General features: G+C 35.9%; 1 long non-coding RNA gene across 1 annotated transcript in view, besides 2 other annotated features; it reads left to right on the forward strand.

The window, feature by feature from the left end:
- Positions 1-19,725, forward strand: part of LOC105377975 (uncharacterized) — a 295,277-nt gene that overhangs the window by 270,856 nt on the left and 4,696 nt on the right. The window lies entirely within an intron of this gene.
- Positions 9,632-10,171: an enhancer, noted in NCBI's record as "NANOG-H3K27ac-H3K4me1 hESC enhancer chr6:120151441-120151980 (GRCh37/hg19 assembly coordinates)". NCBI's record gives its function as "activates a minimal SCP1, AML or CMV promoter by ChIP-STARR-seq in naive and primed H9 embryonic stem cells {active_cell/tissue: H9 hESC(naive and primed)}" and the evidence as "EXISTENCE:reporter gene assay evidence [ECO:0000049][PMID:30033119]".
- Positions 10,172-10,711: an enhancer, noted in NCBI's record as "H3K27ac-H3K4me1 hESC enhancer chr6:120151981-120152520 (GRCh37/hg19 assembly coordinates)". NCBI's record gives its function as "activates a minimal SCP1, AML or CMV promoter by ChIP-STARR-seq in primed H9 embryonic stem cells {active_cell/tissue: H9 hESC(primed)}" and the evidence as "EXISTENCE:reporter gene assay evidence [ECO:0000049][PMID:30033119]".

Genomic DNA, 19,725 nt, shown 5'->3' on the forward strand with positions numbered 1-19,725 from the left:
AACCCACTATCAAACAGGCGATATTATAATTCTTAAACAAGAAAGTGGTAGTCTTTATGTTTGTTTCCTAAGACATTTTAATTGAATTTCTATAGCTTCGATACTTGTTATCAGTATAAGTACCCTCAGCAAGGGTAGTTAAGTTTTGGATGACCTAACCATGGAGACTTATCATTTATATCATGGGGATATTGGATCAGGAAAGGATAGGATTTTAATTCTGCCCCTGTGAATATCATTCTGCATTTTCTAGATACATGCTGCTTCTAGTGTGCTGTTTAGAGAAGTGCACCTGAGCTTCTGTTTGTTTTATTTAAATGTGTGTCTTATCTGTGTGTTGTAGATCTTCCATGTGGTTTCATGCACCATTACAGTAATTTCTGCTATTTCCTTCTTAGGATTCTATTCTTCGCCATTTTCTTTATTATGAAATTTTTCAAACATACAAAATGTTTTGAAATTATAATATCATCAGTCACTAATGTAAAGGTTAGAGCATTAAAAATATATTTAAATTTCTGTGTTTGCCCTCAAAGACTAATAGAAAACACAACAGAAAAACAAGAGCTAAAGTCAACTGCTGCTAAGAACCATTGTAGTAACAAGCATCAGACATTACTGAGGCCTAATTTGTCTTTGTTACTGGGGCTATAAGAAGAATTTGTATATACCTTCTGGCTTATTTTAATCTAATTTTGTGGGATATATCTATAAGAGGTCTATTAAAAATTCAAGAATGTGAAATAGGTTTCACATAATGCTTCAGCAGTGATAGATTGATAATAGTTGTTTGGAGAGCTGTGTTAAAAAGACTCTACCCAACGACTTAGCCAGAAAGAGTATCAAGAATGACTAATGATGTCTGTCATGGGTACAACAGGAGGAAATAAAACACTCGTACTGTGTTTGGGTGATATGTCATTGTCTAAGAGCCTTGTAAGTGGTATAGGCACTGAAGCCCAAAGTGACACACTAGAATAGTCAACATGGAAGAGGTAACATGTGAGCTGGGTCTTGAAGAAAGAGGAGGTCCTTAAATTAACTAAGAGTTGATTTAAGCGCATAGAAAGAGGATAAGCAGAGATGAAAATATGGCAATGTGTGTGATATTTTAGGGATTCTAAGCAGACTTTTAAAGGTAGAATAGGAAAAAAAACGTGGTGAACTGTGTAAAATAGAATGGCCTTTCATCTAATTTTCTGCTTACACTCAAAGACTGAGCATGAAATAATTACATGGCAGATATTCCCATATCCCAAATTAAAATATTAGGCCACCTTAGCACGATTTGCAAATACGTTATCTCAGAACTGGTTTTGACAACCTTAATCCTCCCTCCACACATAGCCTTTACAAGAGGTTATAAAAGCTAGCAAAAAGTTGGAGTTTAGAGAGTATCCCCTCATGAGGATGCAGGGGCTTGCTGCGTCCTCTCCTCTCCTCAAATGCCAGGGGCTTCAATCAGAAAGCTTGGTGTGAGACAGAGCATACCTCTGGATGGTATCATCCAAGCTGTGTCTCATTCAAACATGACTGTCTGTCTCTCCTGGAGATCCTGTAAGCTGTTTGAGGGCCACAGAGGACAAGTGTTATAAACACATCTGAGAAATGTAAAGATGAGAGGCTAAGTCTAGAGTTCCTTTCTCTGACTGTAGAAAAACATTGTATTGACTGTATTTGTTTAACTTGCATTTCCACGAATTACTAAGTATGAAGTTTGTGTAAGTATTTCCCAAGGGCCAATAATGGTCTAGATGAGCGACATCTAGCCTAGCATTCTCTTAGATCCTATCTAAGAAGCCCACGTGGGTAGGTGAAGAGACCTAGGCAGAAACAGGTGGAAGATGCACTGGAAAATTTTCAGGAGTAAAGGAAGACTGAAATAGCCGTTTTGAGGAGGTGCATTCACCTCATAAATACAAATGTAGGTGATTTTTTTTTTGTGTGATGATGGGAAGAGTGGTCTCTGGAGAATGCTGCACACTCCAAGTATTGGTTAGAATTCTTCATTGTAAGGTTAAGCAGACAGGAATAAATTATAAGTTATGATTTAGTTACACACCCTTGATTGTTCTAGGAAACCAATTTTGAATAATACAAAACTAGGACCATAAAGCAGTGAGGGCAAATACCCAACCTCATCACAGAAATGATTTTTGTATCAGAAAAAACTGTTGCTGTCTCGCAGAGATAATTTATATTTTATAATGTTGGACCAAATGCCCGAACTTCTACCAGAACCATCCTGAAGAATCAAAGGTCTCTGCTTATGAGAAGAACCCATCTCTCCACTCATGGCTGCTACCTGCTGTTGCTTTTTCCCTGGCTAGCAAGGAGCTTAAGGCATGTCTAGCATCCTACATGCAAATTAATGGTAATGCAGCTGTTTAGTGTTCTGGTCTGGGTACTGTAGGAAGGAAATTCAAAAAAGTTGGTGTAGGCATTGAGCAAGTGAAGTATGTGGTAGCAGTGAAGTATCTACCACATACTTCACTTGCTCAGTGCCTACACCAACGTCTTTCTTGAAGTATGTGGTAGCAGTACCTATCATATATATATATTGGTGTGAGACAGAGCATACTTCTGGATGGTATCATTCAAGCCGTGTCTCATTCAGACATGACTGTCTGTCTCTCCTGGAGATTCTGTAAGCTGTTTGTGGGCCACAGAGGACAAGTGTTATAAACACATCTGAGAAATGTAAAGATGAGAGGCTATATACTATATATATTGACATCTTTATTATTTCTAAATATGTCTATTACTGGTAATAGTCCTTGATCTGAACTCTATTTTGTTTGATAGTAATATAGTTAATTCAGCTGTTTTGTGATTAGTTTTTGCACGGTGTTTTTTTCATCATTTAGCTTTTAAAATGTGTCTTTATATTTAGAGTAATAGACTTCACCTATACATATTAATGCTAATGTACTATATACTATGTCTGTATGATCTATCTGTTTCTCCTCTCTCCCTCCTCCCTTCTGTCTCCAAATGGGCATTCTCTACATTTTATTTGGAGTCTTGGAACCTTTTATATTTAATGGAATTCGTTGAGTTTAAATCTATTATATTGTTATTTGATTTCTATTTGTCCCTTCTGTTCTTTTTCTCTTTGCTTGCACTCTCTTTTTGATGAATTTTTTATTTTTTATTTTTTAGTATTCTATTTTATCTTTACTATTGGTTTTTAGCTCTTGCTTTTGTTTTATTTTACATTTTAGGGATTGATCTAGGGTTCCAATATGCGTCTTAACTTATCACAGTCTACCTCAAATAACATTGTACTACTTACATATAACTTAAGAATCTTAAAAGAGCACAGATCCATTTCCTGCTCCTGTCCTTTAAATGGTATTATGAAAAAATTTTCTTTTACATATGTTATAAACCCTACAATATATTGTCATTTTTTTTTATTTAAAGAGTAAATTTATCTTTTTGTTTTTGAACTAATTTTAGACTAACAGAAATGTTGCAAAAAATAGTGTAGAGATTTCCTATATATTTATTTCCCAGCTTCTCCTAGTGTTAACATTCAACATGACATGGTGCAATTCTCAAGACTGGGTATGTAACATTTATATGATACTATAACTAAATGACAAACCTTATTAGAATTTTGCCAGTTTAAAAAATTGTAAAACGAGAAAGACTTTATATTAGTCAACATACCGGTCACTTCTGGTGCTTTTTATTCCCTTGTATAGTTACAAATTTCTACTTGATATTTTTTTCTGCCTGAAGAACTTCCTTTATCATTCCTTACAGTGCAAATCTGCTAGTAATAATTTTTCTCAGCATTTCTTTGTCTAAAAGATTTTTAAGATTTTTAAAATTGATTTTTAAAATGATATTTTCACTGGATATAGACTTCTAGGTTGACAGATTTTTTTTCCTTTGAGTCCTTTTAAGATATTACTCCATTATCTTCTAGTTTTCATTTCTGAGCGTATGTGCATGAAGTATGTAATCACTCTTTCCTTGTTCCTCTTATGTACTGTGCCTTTTGCCTTTTAAGAGTTTCTTTTTATTATTGGTTTTCAGCAATTTAATTATGATGCCTGTTGGTGTGCTTTTCTTTATGTTCATTATGCTTGGGGTTTATTTAATCCCTTAAACCTGGGATGTAAAAATTTGAACATTTCAGCAATTATTTCTTCAAAACTTTTTTCCTGGCATCTCCCTTTTCCTTCTCTCCTGGGACTTCAAATTTCTAGTTATAATTTCCCCCACAGGTCACAAAAAACTCGGTTCCTTTTTTGAGTATTTATTATTTATGTTTTATTTTGAAAAGTTTTCTTCACTAGGTATTTGAATTTACTGATATTTGTTTCTGCAATATTTAATGGCTATTAATCCCATTCACTGAGTTTTTCATTTCAGAAGTTATGTTTCATATCCAGAAATTCTATGTGATTTAAAAAATATATTCCATTTCCCTCTTTATTTTATTCATGGTTTCCTTTAGATTCCATCACCTAATTTCATCGTCTTTTTTATTGCTGGATCTGAGTTTATTGACTGGTAGTTAGGAATTTCATTTTTCATATTTTTCTGCCTTTTTTATATCTAGTAATTTTACTAGATGCTGTACCTGTGAATTTTTCATTGCTATTGCTGGATTTTGTTTTCTTCTTTTAAAGGGTGTTGAATTTTGTTCTGGAAGACAATGTTATATGGAAATAATTTTTTTCATTTATTTAGTTTAGTTTTGAAGATATTTAGAATATATTTGAAATAGCCTTTTATCTAAGAATTGTTCAGTCCCACTGCTAAGCTGTGGACTTCTGTATCTCTGCTTCATACTTTAGGAGTTAACTTGAACTCTATTCTGGCTGAAGGGAGCGTGAATATTTCCCAGCCTTATATGAGCTCTGGAAATTAAACCTACAGTTTCCAGTTATTGTTTTCTCAGTCTTATTTAATTTCATCATGTGTGAGCACAAATTAATATTTATCAATATACTTAAGAGCGAACCTAGGCAGATTTTTGTATCCTTTTTCCTGTATTGCTCCCTGTCTTCTGGAAATTTGCCCTACAATATAAATCTCTTTTATATTTCCAAACTCTGATCTTTGTCTCCTCAACCCAGTATGATTGTTTCATCTCCTTGTTCATAAAGTGCTTCCAGAGAGAAAGCAATTGTTTTATTCCCCTAAAAATCTCAATCCTGTATCGTAAAGACATCATACAATGTCTAAAATGTTTTTCTTTTTTACCTTTATGGAAAAGCTTTATATTTCTTTATTTATGGTGGGCCATTTAGTATGGCCCCAGTCCATGATGGACAGAATAAGATGTTCATTGGATAATTTTATACAGCGGAGTAACATGATGTATCTTGCATTTTTAAAGTGTCATTCTAGCTGCTTTCTAGAGAATAGATTTTTGAAGATCAATGTGATTGTAGAGAGATCTTTTATAAGGCTGTTACAGTTTCACAAGAGTGTGATGATGATTTTAGGATGTATTTTGCAAGAAGTGATTGGCTATATTTAGTTTGTATTTGTGAGATGGGACTGATATTTTTTTGATGACTTGGATGAGGTGGGGGTGGTAGGAGAGGAATCAAGAGAAAAATCAAGAATGATCTCCAAGTTTTGTTATGAGCAACTGGGTGAGTAGGGATGTAAGGATAGGAGTATGTTTTAAGGGAGCAGGAGAGTCAAGACTTTTTTGTACAATTTAACTTTAGCAAGCCTGTCAGGAATCCAAATTAGATTCAGAAGTAAATTTTCTGGAAGATAAGGATTTAACAGTTTTGGAGATTTTGATATACTGACATTCTTTGTGAATTTTCTTTCAATAACAGCTTTATTAAGATACAATTTACATACCATAAATTCATAAAGTGCACCATTCAGTGATTTTCAGCATATTCTATTCACACAGTTGTACAACCATCACTACTATCTAATTCCAGAACATTGTTATCATTCCAAAAAGAAACCCCATATCCAATAGCAGTCACTCTGCATACAATATGTGGCTTTTTGTGTCTGACTTCTTTCAACTAGTATAATGTTTTCAAGGTTCATCCACGTTGTAAGCATAGACCAGAACTTCATTTCTTTTTATGTGTGACTGACATTCCATTGTATGAATATACCACATTTTGTTTATTCATTCATCGGTTGGTGAACATTAGGTTATTTTCATTTTTTGACTCTTATGAGTAATGCAGCTGTGAACATTTATGTACAAGTTTTTGTGTGGATAAATGTTTTCAGTTCTCTTGAGTATATACTTAAGAGTGAAATTGTCAGGTCACACGGTAATGTCATGTGTAACTTTTCGAGGAATTGCCAAAGTGTTTTCCAAAGTGTCTGCACTATTTTACATTCCTACCAGTAATGTGTGAGGGTTCCAATTTCTCTGCATTCTCACGAATAGTTATTATCTATCTATTTGATTACAGCTATTCCTGTGGGTGTGAAGAAGTATCTTACTGTGGTATTGACTTGCATTTTACTGATGGCTAATAATGTTGAGCATCTTTCCATGGTCATGCATATTGACCATTTTTATATTTTCTTTGAAGAACTGTTTATTCAAATTCTTTGTCCAGTATTTGTATTTTTTTTAAGTGGTTGAGTTGTGAGTGTTCTTAAATCTGGATATGAGTCTGTAATGAGGCATATAATTTGCAAATATTTTCTTCCATTTTTGAGGTTGTCGTTCACTTTCTTTTAAAAAAATTATTTTTTGATTAATTTTTTTTATTCCGATAGGTTTTTTGAGAACAGGTAGTGTTTGATTACATGAATAAGTTCTTTAGCCTTGATTTCTGAGAGTTTGGTGCACTCATCACCTGAGCAGTGTACACTGTATCCATTGTGTAGTCTTTTATCCCTCAACCCCCTCCCACCCTTTCTCCTGAGTCCCCACAGTCCATTGTATTATTCTTATGCCTTTGCATCCTCACAGCTTAGCTCCCACTTATTAGTAAAAACATACAATGTTTTTATGAGCTACTTCACTTAGAATAATGGCCTCCAATTGCATCCAGGTTGTGGCAAATGCCATTATTTTATTCCCTTTTATGGCTGAGTAGTATTCCATGGTATATATACTACAATTTCTTTATCTACTCATTGATTGATGGGCATGTGGGCTGGTTCCATATTTTTGCAATTGTGAATTATGCTGCTATAAACATGTGTGTACAAGTATCTTTTTCGCATAATGGCTTCTTTTCCTTTGTGTAGATACCCAGTAGTGGGATTGCTGGATCAAATGGTAGTTCTACTTTTAGTTCTTTCAGTAATCTCCACACTGTTTTCCACAGTGGTTGTACTAGTTCACATTCCCACCAGCACTGTAAAAGTGTTCTCTTTTAACCACATTCACACCAACATCTATTATTTTTTGATTTTTTGATTATGGCCATTCTTGCAGGAGTAAAGTGGTATTTCACTGTGGTTTTGATTTGCATTTCCCTTATCATTAGTGATGTTGAGCATTTTTTCATATGTTTGTTGGCCATTATTATATCTTCTTTTGAGAATTGTCTATTCGTGTCCTTAGCTCACTTTTTGATGGGACTTTTTTTTATTTTCTTGCTGATTTGTTTCAGTTCCTTGTAGACTCTGAATATTAATCCTTTGTCAAATGTGTAGACTGCAAAGATTTTGTCCCACTCTGTGGGTTGTCTTTTTGCTCTGCTGATTGTTTCTTATGCTGTGTAGAAGTTTTTTTTTGTTTAAGTCCCATCTATTTATCTTTGTTTTTGTTACATTGGCTTTTGCGTTCTTGGCCATGAAGTCTTTGCCTAACCCAATGTCTAGAAGGATTTTTCCAATGTTATCTTTGATTCAGCTTGAGTTAATATTTGTATAAGGTGAGAGATGAGGATCCATTTTTATTGTTCTGCATGTGGCTTGCCAATTATCCCAACAACGTTTGTTGAGTATGGTGTGCTTTCCCCACTTTATGTTTTTAAGTTTATGTGAGTCCTCAGAAACACAGCAGATAAAGACATAAAGACAGCAGATACCTGGTTGGCAAATTCTTATTCATTCTGCCATTCTATATCTTTTATGCGGAGCTTTTAGGCCATTTAGATTCAATGTTAGTATTGAGATATGAAGTACTCTTCTATTCATTGTGCTGTTTGTTGCCTGAATACCTTGTGTTTTATTCATTGTGTTACTGTTATATATGTCCTGTGAGATTTATGCTGTAAGGAGATTCTATTTTGGTATATTTTAAGGCTTTGCTTCAAGATTTCAAGCTCCTTTTAGCAGTTCTTAAAGTGAAGACTTGGTAATGGCGAATTCTCTCAGCATTTGTTTGTCTGAAAAAGACTACCTTTCATTCATTTATGAACCTTAATTTCACTGGATACAAAATTCTTGGCTAATAATTCCTTTGTTTAAGGAGGCTAAAGATAGTGCCTTTAGCCTCCTGTAGGGTTTCTGCTGAGAAATCTGCTGTTAATCTGATAGGTTTTCCTTTATAGGTCACCTGAGGCATTTGCCTCATAGCTCTTAAGATTCTTTTCTTCATCTTGACTTTAGATAACCTGATGACTATGTACCTAGGCGATGAATCTCCCAGGTGTTCTTTGAGCTTCTTGTATTTCATTGTCTAGATTTCTAGTAAGGACAGGAAAATTTTCCTTGATTATTCCCTCAAATATGTTTTCCAAACTTTTATGTTTCTCTTCTTCCCCAGGAATACCAGTTCTTCCTAGGTTTGGTCGTTTAACATAATCCCAAACTTCTTGAATGCTTTGTTCATTTTTTAATATTCTTTTTTCTTTGTCTTTGTTGGACTGGGCTAATTTGAAGGCCTTGTCTTTGAGCTCTGAAGTTCTTTCTTCCACTTGTTCTATTCTATTGCGAAGGCTTTCCAGTATATTTTGCATTTCTCTAAGTGTGTCCTTCATTTCCAGAGTTGTGATTGTTTTTCCTTTATGCTATCTATTTCACTGAAGATTTTTCCCTTCATGTCTTGTTTTCCTTTTTTTTTTTTTTTAGATGGAGTCTCTTGCTCTGTCACCAGGCTGGAATGCAGTGGTGCAATCTTCGCTCACTGCAACCTCTGCCTCCAGGGTTCTCCTGGCTCAGCCTCCTGAGTAGCTGGGATTGCAGTCGTGCACCACCATGCCCAGCTAATTTTTGTAGTTTTAGTAGAGATGGAGTTTCACCATGTTGGCCAGGATGGTCTCGATCACCTGACCTCATGATCTGCCCACCTTGGCCTCTCAAAGTGCTGGGATTACAGGCTTGAACCATGCACCCAGCCATCTTGTATTATTATTATTTTTTATTTCATTAAGTTGGACTTCACCTTTCTCTGGTGCCTCCTTGATTAGCTTAATAATCAACCTTCTGAATTGTTTTTCTGGAAATTCAGAGATTTCTTCTTGATTTGGATCTATTGCTGGTGAACTAGTTTTGATCCTTTGGGGCTGTTAAAGAACCTTGTTTTGTCATATTACAAGAATTGTTCTTCTAGTTTCTTCCCATTTGGGTAGACCGTGTGAGAGGAAAGATCTGGGGCTCTGGGGCTCAGGTGCTGGTGTTCAGATTCTTTTGTCCCATGGGGTATTCCCTTGATGTGGTTCTCTCCCCCTTCCCCCAGGATGTGGCTTCCTGAGAGCCAAACTGCAGTGATTCTTTTTTCTCTTCTGGATCTAGCCACCCTGCAGAGCTACTAGGCTCTGGGCTGGTACTGGGGAGTGTCTGCACAGAGTCCTGTGATGTGAACTGTCTTCAGGTCTCTCAGCCATGGATACTAGCACCTGCTCTGGTGGAGGTGGCAAGCAAGTGAAGTGGACTCTGTGAGGGTCTGTAGTTGTAGTTTTGTTTATTGCACTAGTTTTGTGTTGATTGCCTCCAACCAGGAGGTGGTGTTTTCAAGAGATCATTAGCTGTGGTAGTATAGGGAGGATCAGGTGGTGGGTGGGGCTCAAGAGCTCCCAAGAGATTATGTCCTTTGTCTTTGGCTCACAGGGTGGGTAGAGAAAAACCATCAGGTGGGGGCAGGATTAGGCATGTCTGAGCTCAGACTCTCCTTGGGTGGGGCTTGCTGTGGCTGCTGTGGTGGATGGGGGTGTGGTTCTTAGGCCAATGGAGTTATGTTCCCAGGGAGATTATGACTACCTCTGCTGCGTCATGCAGGTAGCCAGAAAAGTGAGGGAAAACTGGCAGTTACAGGTCTCACCCAGCTCCCGCACAGCCCAAAGGGCTGTTCTCACTCCCACCGTGGCCCTCCCTGAAACAGCACCAAGTTTGTTTCCAGACAGCGGCTGAGCAGGGCTGAGAGCTTTCCTCAGTCTACCAGCCTTCCAGCTGATAAAGCAAGCAGGGCTTCCAGGTTTCATGTCTCCCTGCCTGCCACAGCTTCTGTGCTTTGTCTGCACTCCCAATTCACCCCTTCCTCTGGGTTCTGTCCAGGAAACTTCATGCTTGGTCAAAATTGTTACAAAGTTCAGCTGGAAGTTTCCTTCTCCCTGTGTTTTTTTCCCAATTCCTCTGGCAGCCCTCCCCAAGGACTCCTGTGAGACAAAGTCAGAAATGACTTCCCTGGGGACTGAGAGAGACAACAGGGCTCTTCTCGATGCTTCTTCTACCCCTGTATTTTGCTCAGCTCTCTGAAGTTATCTCAGTTCCAGGTAAGGTCAAAACCCTCCTCCTGTGATCTATACCTTCAGGTTCCCCAGTGAGAGTATGTGTTCAGGGGTGGATGATCCTCCTCACACTTTCACACTTTGGGCATTCATGGTTTTTTGGCTGTCACCCAGGGCCTGAAGCAGCACTCCACTTCTTTCAAAGGGTCTGTAGATTCTCTCAGCTTTCCTTGTATGTTCCTGAGGTAGTTATTGGCGCAGAAGTTCATGATGTGAGTCTCCACATGCTGCTCTGTCTGGCTGAGTGGGAGCCACAAGTTAGTCTTGCCTCCTATTCATCCTCTCCCGCAATGACCTGTGAATTTTCAAGTAGAGGATAGAGTGTACTGTGTTTTCTGGTGTGTCCTCAGAACCTCATTTCTAAGAAGCGTCTTGTGGAACCAGTGTTATGTGAAATATATTTTGGAAAATTTGGCCTGGGCAAGGGGAAGCCAGTGAATGTTTTAAGGAGGGTGACATGGTCCAAAATATTTTATAGGGCCTTCTCTTGGCAGGAATATGATTTGATGAGAAAGAGGCTAGAGGCCCAGAGAACAGATGAGAGCTCATTGGCATCAGCACTTGGACATTTAAGGGTGAGGGCCCAGATGTGCGATGACAGTGGGATCAAAGTAAATATGTAGATGTGAGAGGGAGTGTGAAGAATAAGAAGTCATCAGCAAATGATAATTGTTTTCTAAACAGAGATAACCCAGATGGAAAATTTAAACAAAAGAATATATATAGGTGCTATTTAATGAGCATTTGTTATATGACTGAATACACACACACACACACACACACACACACACACACACACACGCTCCATAGGTTAAGACAAATGAATTAATTTATCCAAGATGGCATGGATAAAATTAGAATAGCAAAGGTTTGAATTCAACTAATTTCGAAGGCCAAATTAGTGCCTCTGTGCTAATCTCTTATAAGAAGAATAAGAAAAGATTATACCAAGTGGTGTTATAATTAAGATTTGATGGGCCATAGAGTTGAAATTTAAAAAGTGAGCAATTAAAAATACTTATCGTGAGATATACATGTAACATAAAAATCTTCTGCAATAGGAAGTAGATGAAGTAATTTAAACATGACACTTGAACCTTAAGGAATTTTGGCAGTAAAAATATATGATATATAATAAGACGTTATATGAGATATAATTAGAATATGATATAAAGTGCTATAGTATAGATTAGAGACTACAAGCATAACTAAAAGCCATTTTCTCCCAAAATTTTACTTCTAAGAGTTGTGGCTGCTGAAATTAGACCAACTTTTGACAATAAAGTAATGAGTCAAATGAAAAATATAGAAATAACCACCTGTGACTCACCTTAGTAGACCTGGTGTACCATAGAGGTAAAAGCAAACAATTATGATACAGGTGTCCTACACAGTGAATGTTTTTTTCTGTATTAATTGAACAAATAATACCTTGCTAAAATATGTTAGGGACTATATAAATTACTTCATTTACATTATTTTCTGTAGGTGAAGGTGAGTATATTATGCTCATTTTACTCATGAAGAAAGTACAATTTAGAGGTTAACTCATCAAAGATCCACAACCAATTGTCTGCAGAGTTGGAATGGGACTTGGATTTGTGTGAGTTTCATGTTTGTTTACTTCACATTTGAAGAAACATTAACCTTTCTCTGTACTGCTTTGTGATTTTTTTAAAAATAGTTCTTCAATGTCATATAAATATATCCAAAAGTTATCGGTTATTTCAGACTTCTTACAATTCCACTTCCTTTGTGAAACTTTTCCTGAGTTAAAAGATTCATCTTTCTTACCAAATAGTGATTACTCTCCCTGCAGGTAGAAAGCATAAATGCTAATTCATGAGCCTTGTATTTTGTATGTCTTGATTTGCTGTTTAACTACATTTATTCATCAAAGTAGTCTTAAAAAGTAATTCTCAAATGGACATTAGGATGGGGTTTAGACCATTTAAACCTTTATAATGGGTTTTAGGATGGGTTTTAGACCATTTAAAACCTTTATAATAATGTGCAAGATGAAACAGATATGGCAAAATGGGGTTACATAGTCAGAAACAGCCTCCAGAATTAGAAAATTTGGTTCAATGATGTGATAAGGGATGGAAATTAAAAATAAATAAAGACTTTCATGGATATTATTGTAAATTAAAGTGACCCAAACACTGGTAAGTGCAAACATATCTGAACATGGTATTTTCATGACAAAAGAAATATGGACAAAGAACAAGAAGATGAATTCTGTATGGATAAAAGGAGGCTCGTATATCTCAGAAATATAATTAAAAACAAGACGTTTAGAGGAAAAAAAATAACCTGGAAATGATATCATCAAAAATACCTATGGTAATAAAGAAAAACAAATTGGAAATGTGGCTGAAATGTGGTGGCACACAGGAATACTGTTATGGTTTGCACCATCTATGGAAGCATCCCATTACCAAGGAGAAGGGAGCTGTGCCTGTTCATAGTTCTGAGACACGATCACAGTTGGAATCATAAATAATACTTCTATTTGGAGGAATATTATTACCAGGAAATTATAGTCAAAATGGAAGAAATATAGAGACGTGCAATAATAGTGGTTAGGAACTGCCAGAATTGCTTCTAGAAGAGATGATTCAAAGAATTAAATAGCTTGGTATTTAACTCCTAGCAACTAGGAGTTCACGAGTGTTTATAATCACATGGAGATTGTTAACCCTAAAGAGACAGACATGTCAATTATTAAGGGCTATAATTAAAAGCAATTTAGTAAGATTAGGAAAGAGAGAATTGAGGCAACAGTCATAAGACCCATTCGAATACTGAATGAGGAGTGTGCCTAGGATTACATCCTAGCTTCTTAGTTTGCAATATGGGCTTCCTTTATTTTGAGCATTTCTAAACATCTCATGTGTTCTTTTTTCCCGCTGTGATTCCCTTTCCTCCTTATAGTTTTTATCTCTCTCGTTTGAACCATAAGTTCTGTGTTCCTTTGTGTCAATACATTTTATGGATCTTCTGTGGATTCCGCCCACTTAAAAATACTGGTTTTTAAAATTTATGTGGCAGCCTTGAGCTAGCATTCATTTTGCAAGCACTGAAAGCAATCTTTTCCTCACAAATTTTCCTTTCTTTAATCCATGGGTATGTTATATTTTCAGGTGCTATGCAATACATTTCTGTAACCAGAATTTCTCAGTGTTCTAATAAAAGCTATAAAAAAGGTGTGACTATCAGTAACTCATTTAAAATGATTTATCACAGCATTGTGATTCAATTAAATATTTCCTGGCAAACAAGTTTTCCTTAATGTGAACTTTAAATGAGCTTGGCTTTGAGTTATGTATACAGTGAAAGCAGCAAAATATGAGTCATAGAAGAATGTAAATTGGGGGACAATATTTTTATATTGTGAAATAGCTACTTTCTTTAAAAGAGTGACATCACTTCTTTAAAGTTCTGTCATTTAAGTTTTATCAAGAAGTAACTATAAGAAGAAAAAATTGAGAGATCTTTGGAAAAACAAATGCCATCTGTCCTCAGTGTTACAGAAATAGGTCTCAAAAGCAGATGAAAATGTGAGCAGTCTACACATCAGAGCTCAAGGAAGGCCAAAGTACTTTTACTGATGCCTGTGTTCATAGCTCTTAAACCCCCTTAGAAGGAATGTTCTCTTAATTAAAAATAAAAATATTCTGTGTTCTTTACAAAGTCTGATATTATTTCCAGGATGTCTGAACAATGATGTAGGAAAATCCATCCTACAACTACAACAGAGAAATATATTTTAATTGCTCTTATGCTTTGGAAAGAATATTAAATTTGTATCTTGGGAAATTATTTCTCTTTCCTCTTTTCTTCATCCTTTCTCTTTCCCTTTCTGTGTCACTGAATACTACTAGGTGCGAGATATTAAGTTGTTTATGGCCAAGTGAAATATTGCAGCCTATAAGAGTCATAAGAAAGGTGAAGGATTGGCCTTTCTTTGGTTCAGATGATAAGCCTGACACACATATGGTGCTCATGGCCTCTTCTGCGATTGGAAACAAACACTGTGTTTAATTCCTTGTTCTAGAGCTTCCTTTTGCTGCTTGTAGTAAGTACTGTAGAGATTTACCCTTTGTGTTTGGTATAAATTATCTCAAGAGAGTACTGTGTACCTCAAAGTCCTCTAGAGTCTGATTGTAGGGTAATATACAAAATGACAACCAATTGTTCCTGGTTTTACAGAAAAATTTCTTCTCTAACCTGTACAGATACTTCTTATCTCTAGATTCCTGTCCACTTCAAAAGAAACAAGTAGGTTGAACATGTGCCTTGAGACCTTTGCTCAGTATTGCTTAGTAAGAAAGCCCATAATTGTTGCTCACCTCTGACTTACCATTTTTAGTGTAAAATATGAGAAACACATTAAAAGCCTGAAAATATAGCTCTTGACCTAGCTTTATTATTTTGCTAGGGCTGTGATGCTGGGAAAGAAGAAAGGAATTAAAAGGAGCCCATTTATATTACATGTGTGCCATGATTACATATCTTTCTTAGTGAATCTCTAAGTGAAATGGAAATCTGGATTGAATAGCAGCAGTAATATATATACATAAAAAAAAAGAGGAACAATTCCCAACAGTGTACTGTATTAAGGTGCTGACCCAGGACTTAGAAGCCAAAAAGTGTCAGTCCCCAGTCCTTCTCTTTTGTCAAACCAAGTTTAATATATACATTTGTTCATCATACATACACACACAAGTGTATATATGTGCACACTTGCATATGTATATTTATATTATATAATGAATTATATATAGTTTATTTAAAAATTGACAATTGTAGAAAAATCAGAAAGTTAGAAAAATGAATAGTATTGCTATAACTGAGAGACAATGGGAAAATTACTGTTAGTATCTTTCTGTTTATTTTTCAGACTTTTATTTATTGTAGTTATCATCCCATATTTTATATCTTGTTTCTTATTTAAAATTTCAAATTATAACAACCATTTCATGTGCCTCTATAAACTCTTTATAGGTATCATTTAAATATATCCTAAGAGTTCGCAAAGTGGATAATTTCATAGTTTATTTAACCATTTTTATTTAACCATTTCCCATATTTGGGGCATTTAATTTTTCTCTCTCTTCTCCTAGTTCTCTTTTATCTAAAATTTTTTTTGCTTTGCCCCCTTCCTTTTCTTTCTCTATTATTCTTTTTTCCTCTCATTTTAACAGGAACTCTGTATCAAAGCTGAGATGTGGCTGGAGCTTTAAGATAGGTGACATTCCTTACTTAAGGGGAATATTTATATCCACTAATTTTCAATTTTGAGGGATCTCATAAAGGGTAGAAAACCATGATGGCAACAACATCCCTCCAAAAAAAAAAAAACCACCCTTGAATCGTGTTTATATATATGTATGTATGTATATGCATATGTGCATGCCTGTTTGTGTGTGAGTATGCGTGTGTATTTGTGTGTACGTGTGTGTTTAGGTTTTTGTTGTGTAGATCTGTATGTGTGTGCAAGTGTGTATCTATGAATACATCTGTGATTTGTGTGATAGATTGGAGGTGTGGGGATGTCTAAAGCCTGCTCAACAAACTAGGCTTGGAAATGAAATGAGTATCTCTATCAAACTGAATGTCTAATATGTATTTGCAATTCAGCTGCCTCGGCAACATGGCCTCATGGTTTTTGGATTTAATGGGAGAGCTGGTGTCAACAACTTTTTCAATCCAGATGCTCTGTGATCTGTGTGCTTTGAAGGAAAGGAGAGGAAGTGCTGTGTGTTTCAACTGAAGGACTCTATTGGTAATTCTTTGATATCCAGGTAATACTCTCAAAATCTGCCATGTAACTCCACATTGACATTAGTTTCCTGGCTTCAAGAGGGGACTGAGAAGGAGCTGCAGTATTACTGGTGAGCACTGGTGATGGAAAAAGTGCAGGGCCCACAGCTCAGGACAACGGAGGCCAGCCAAGCAATAAAGTCAGAGAAAAACCTCACAGTGACAACTCTGAGTAATCGGGAGGCAAATGCAAGCTCTACTTTTGTACTTAAACAAGTATTTTTGAAGAGCTCAGAGCTAGCATGGTTTAGGTATTTGGATTGAAATGTCAATATTAATGGGACTTCATTGATAGATTTGAGGAATATTGGGTCACCTGACTAAAACCACAGTGACCAATCTTTGTTTATCATTGTCCCCCTGCACAATATTTCTAATTGTTTTCTTAAAGCTAGATCCCCAGATGATGAGTTACCCAGTTTTTCAATTTGGGTTTGCCCCCCAAACAAACCCTAAGGCAAGTATTTGTGTGCAAGGAGTTTATTTGGAAGATCCCAGCATGCCCAAGTGAGGAATTGGAAAAACTGAAATGGAGAAAAAAGAAAAACCAATGAAAGGTGCTTTAATAAGTGGATTACTCCCATGGGCAACAGGGACTGAAACCTACTAGGGACACTTTGAGAAACCATATGCAACACACTCAGAATCAGTCTACAAAGATTGGCAAGCTGAGGCATTGATATATTTGTTAGTATCTCCTTTCTTTGGAGGTTGCTTCAGGTTTATTAACTCCAGAAAATGGCTACTTGTGGCTGAGCAGAATGATAAGAGAGGTGATACATTTGAGATGTAAACTTGTCAGAGGGCTGAAAATTCTATGTGACCATTACCAAAGCACACAAGTGGGATGAGGGGTAAGGGATGGAGCATTGGCAGCATCAGCTACACTGAGTTTACCATGTCTGTATTTCAATATACTGTTCTTGTGAATATGTGCCATATATTTAGGATTGTTATTCTTTTGCTTTCTTTCAACTAGGAATCACAAAGTATCTAGATATATAAGATAGACAATACCTCTAAAGCTTTTTTCAATCTCTGTGTCATAGTTCTGTTAAGCAACCAAAGCATGTGGGCCATTCTACTTTGAAGGTCTGCTGGAATGTGTATTTCTCCTTGGAAAGAATAAATATTGAGGCACAAAGAGGCTTGAAATGTGGAAGAGGAATGTGCTACCATAGCAGCCTCACTCTGAGGGTGGCCTAAATTGACTTGGCATTTTGGCTCATAGCTTTGAAAATTCCCTTTATTTCTACCCCAAATTCAAGTTGTCGGATGTCAGTACCCATTTATGTATATAGCGTTTTGTTTTCACTTTCCAGTTCTCCCTCATTCTACTTGTAATAAATCAACCTAGAAATATTTTTGACCTTTCCTGTGTCCTATCATTATTCTTTTAGTTAAGATTTTTGAAAAAAAAATGAAAGAAGGAAAAAAAAATAGTAGTTTACTGTTCTTCACCAAACAGTCACACCTCAGCACATAAAAATCTGGCTTCCATTTCCACCACTTCCCAAGGAATGTTCTCATCATATTCAATAAACTCATAAAGCCAAGTTTAATCAGCACTTTTTGTTTTTTTCTGTTGGGAATTACTGATTGCTCTTCTGAGATCGAGACTATTATGTGCTACATAATGAACATTCTCTATTTGTACAATGTGCAGTGCTCAAATTAAAAGCTAAGTTTATCATCTCCCAAACTAGCCATACCTCCTTATCCTGCCCAAAATTTGTCCTTTGTATTAGGTGTTTTGCCTTGGTGACTAGCATCACCATCTACCTACAACCTAAGTCAAAAAGTTGGAGTCATTTCAGACAATTATCCAACAGTTATTTTCTCCTTTCAAGGCTACACAGTAAATCATAAAACACTATTTCTTTGACACTGGACCTATTTAATCTTGGAAATTTCTGGTTTCCTTCAAGTTCTTCCTGAACTTTTCCTGGTATTTCCAGTGAGTGTCTCACAGTTATTTCAAGAACTTGACACTCCTTTGAGATCAATCTGTTATTAGCTTCTTATTCCCCTCAGTGCAATTGAGGTTTAATAGATAAATGAAAATTATATATATTTACATGGTATAAAATGATGTTTTGATTTACATTGTTAAATGATTACCACAAGCTAACTAAGATATCCATCATCTCAGGTAGTTACTGTTTGTTGTTGTTTTTTTTTTGTGTGTGTGCTGAGAACATTTAAGATCTACTCCCTTAGGAAATTCCAAGTATACAATGCAGTATTATTAAGTACAGTCACTATGATTTATATTACATCTCCAGCACTAACTCATCCTGAAAAACTGAAACTTTCTACCCTTTGACCAACATTTCTCCAATCCCCACACCCACCAGCCCCTGGCAAACACCATTCTACTCTCTGCTTTTATGAATTTGATTTTTACATTCCACATATAAGTGGGATCATGTGATGTTTGTCTTTTTGTGCCTAGCTTATTTCTCTTAGCATAAGGTCCTCCAGATTTATCCATATTGTCGCAAATGAAAAGATTTCTTCTATCTTTAAGGCTGGATAATGTTGTTATCCAAATTCATCTGTCAATGGACACAGGCTGATGTCATATTTTGGCTATTGTGAAGAACGCTACAATGCACATGTGAGTGCAGATATCTCTTCAATATACCAATGTTATTTTCTTTGGATATATACTTAAAAATGGGATTACTGGATCACACCATAGCTCCATTTTAATTTTTTGAAGAACCTATATACTCTTTCCCATAATGGTTGTACCAATTTACCTTACCACTAATAGTTATGCCAGTGCTCCCTTTTCTCCACTTCCTTGCCGACAGTTATTGTTCATCTTTTTGATAGTAGTCATTTTAACAGGTGTCAGCTGATAACTCATTGTGCTTTTGATTTGCATTCCGTGCTGATTAGTGACGTTAGCATTTTTTTCCATATATCTGTTGACTATTCTGTATAATGTCTTTTGAGAATATCTATTTAGGTCCTTTGCCCATTTAAAAAACTGGGTTATTTGTTTTCTTGCTATTGAGTTGAGCTTCTTAATATATTTTAGATGTTAACATCTTGCAAATATTTTTTCCCACTCTATAGGCCATTTTTTCACTCTATTGTCTCCTTTGCCATGCAAAAACTTTTTAGTTTGATGCTATCCTATTTGCCTATTTTTGCTTATGTTGCCTGTGTTTTTGAAGTCATATTCAAAAAAATCATTGCACATATTAAGTAGCATAGTTTTTCACGCTGTTTTCTTTTTAGCAGA

This window comes from Homo sapiens, chromosome 6 (assembly GCF_000001405.40).
Source record: "Homo sapiens chromosome 6, GRCh38.p14 Primary Assembly".
NCBI lineage: Eukaryota > Metazoa > Chordata > Mammalia > Primates > Hominidae > Homo > Homo sapiens.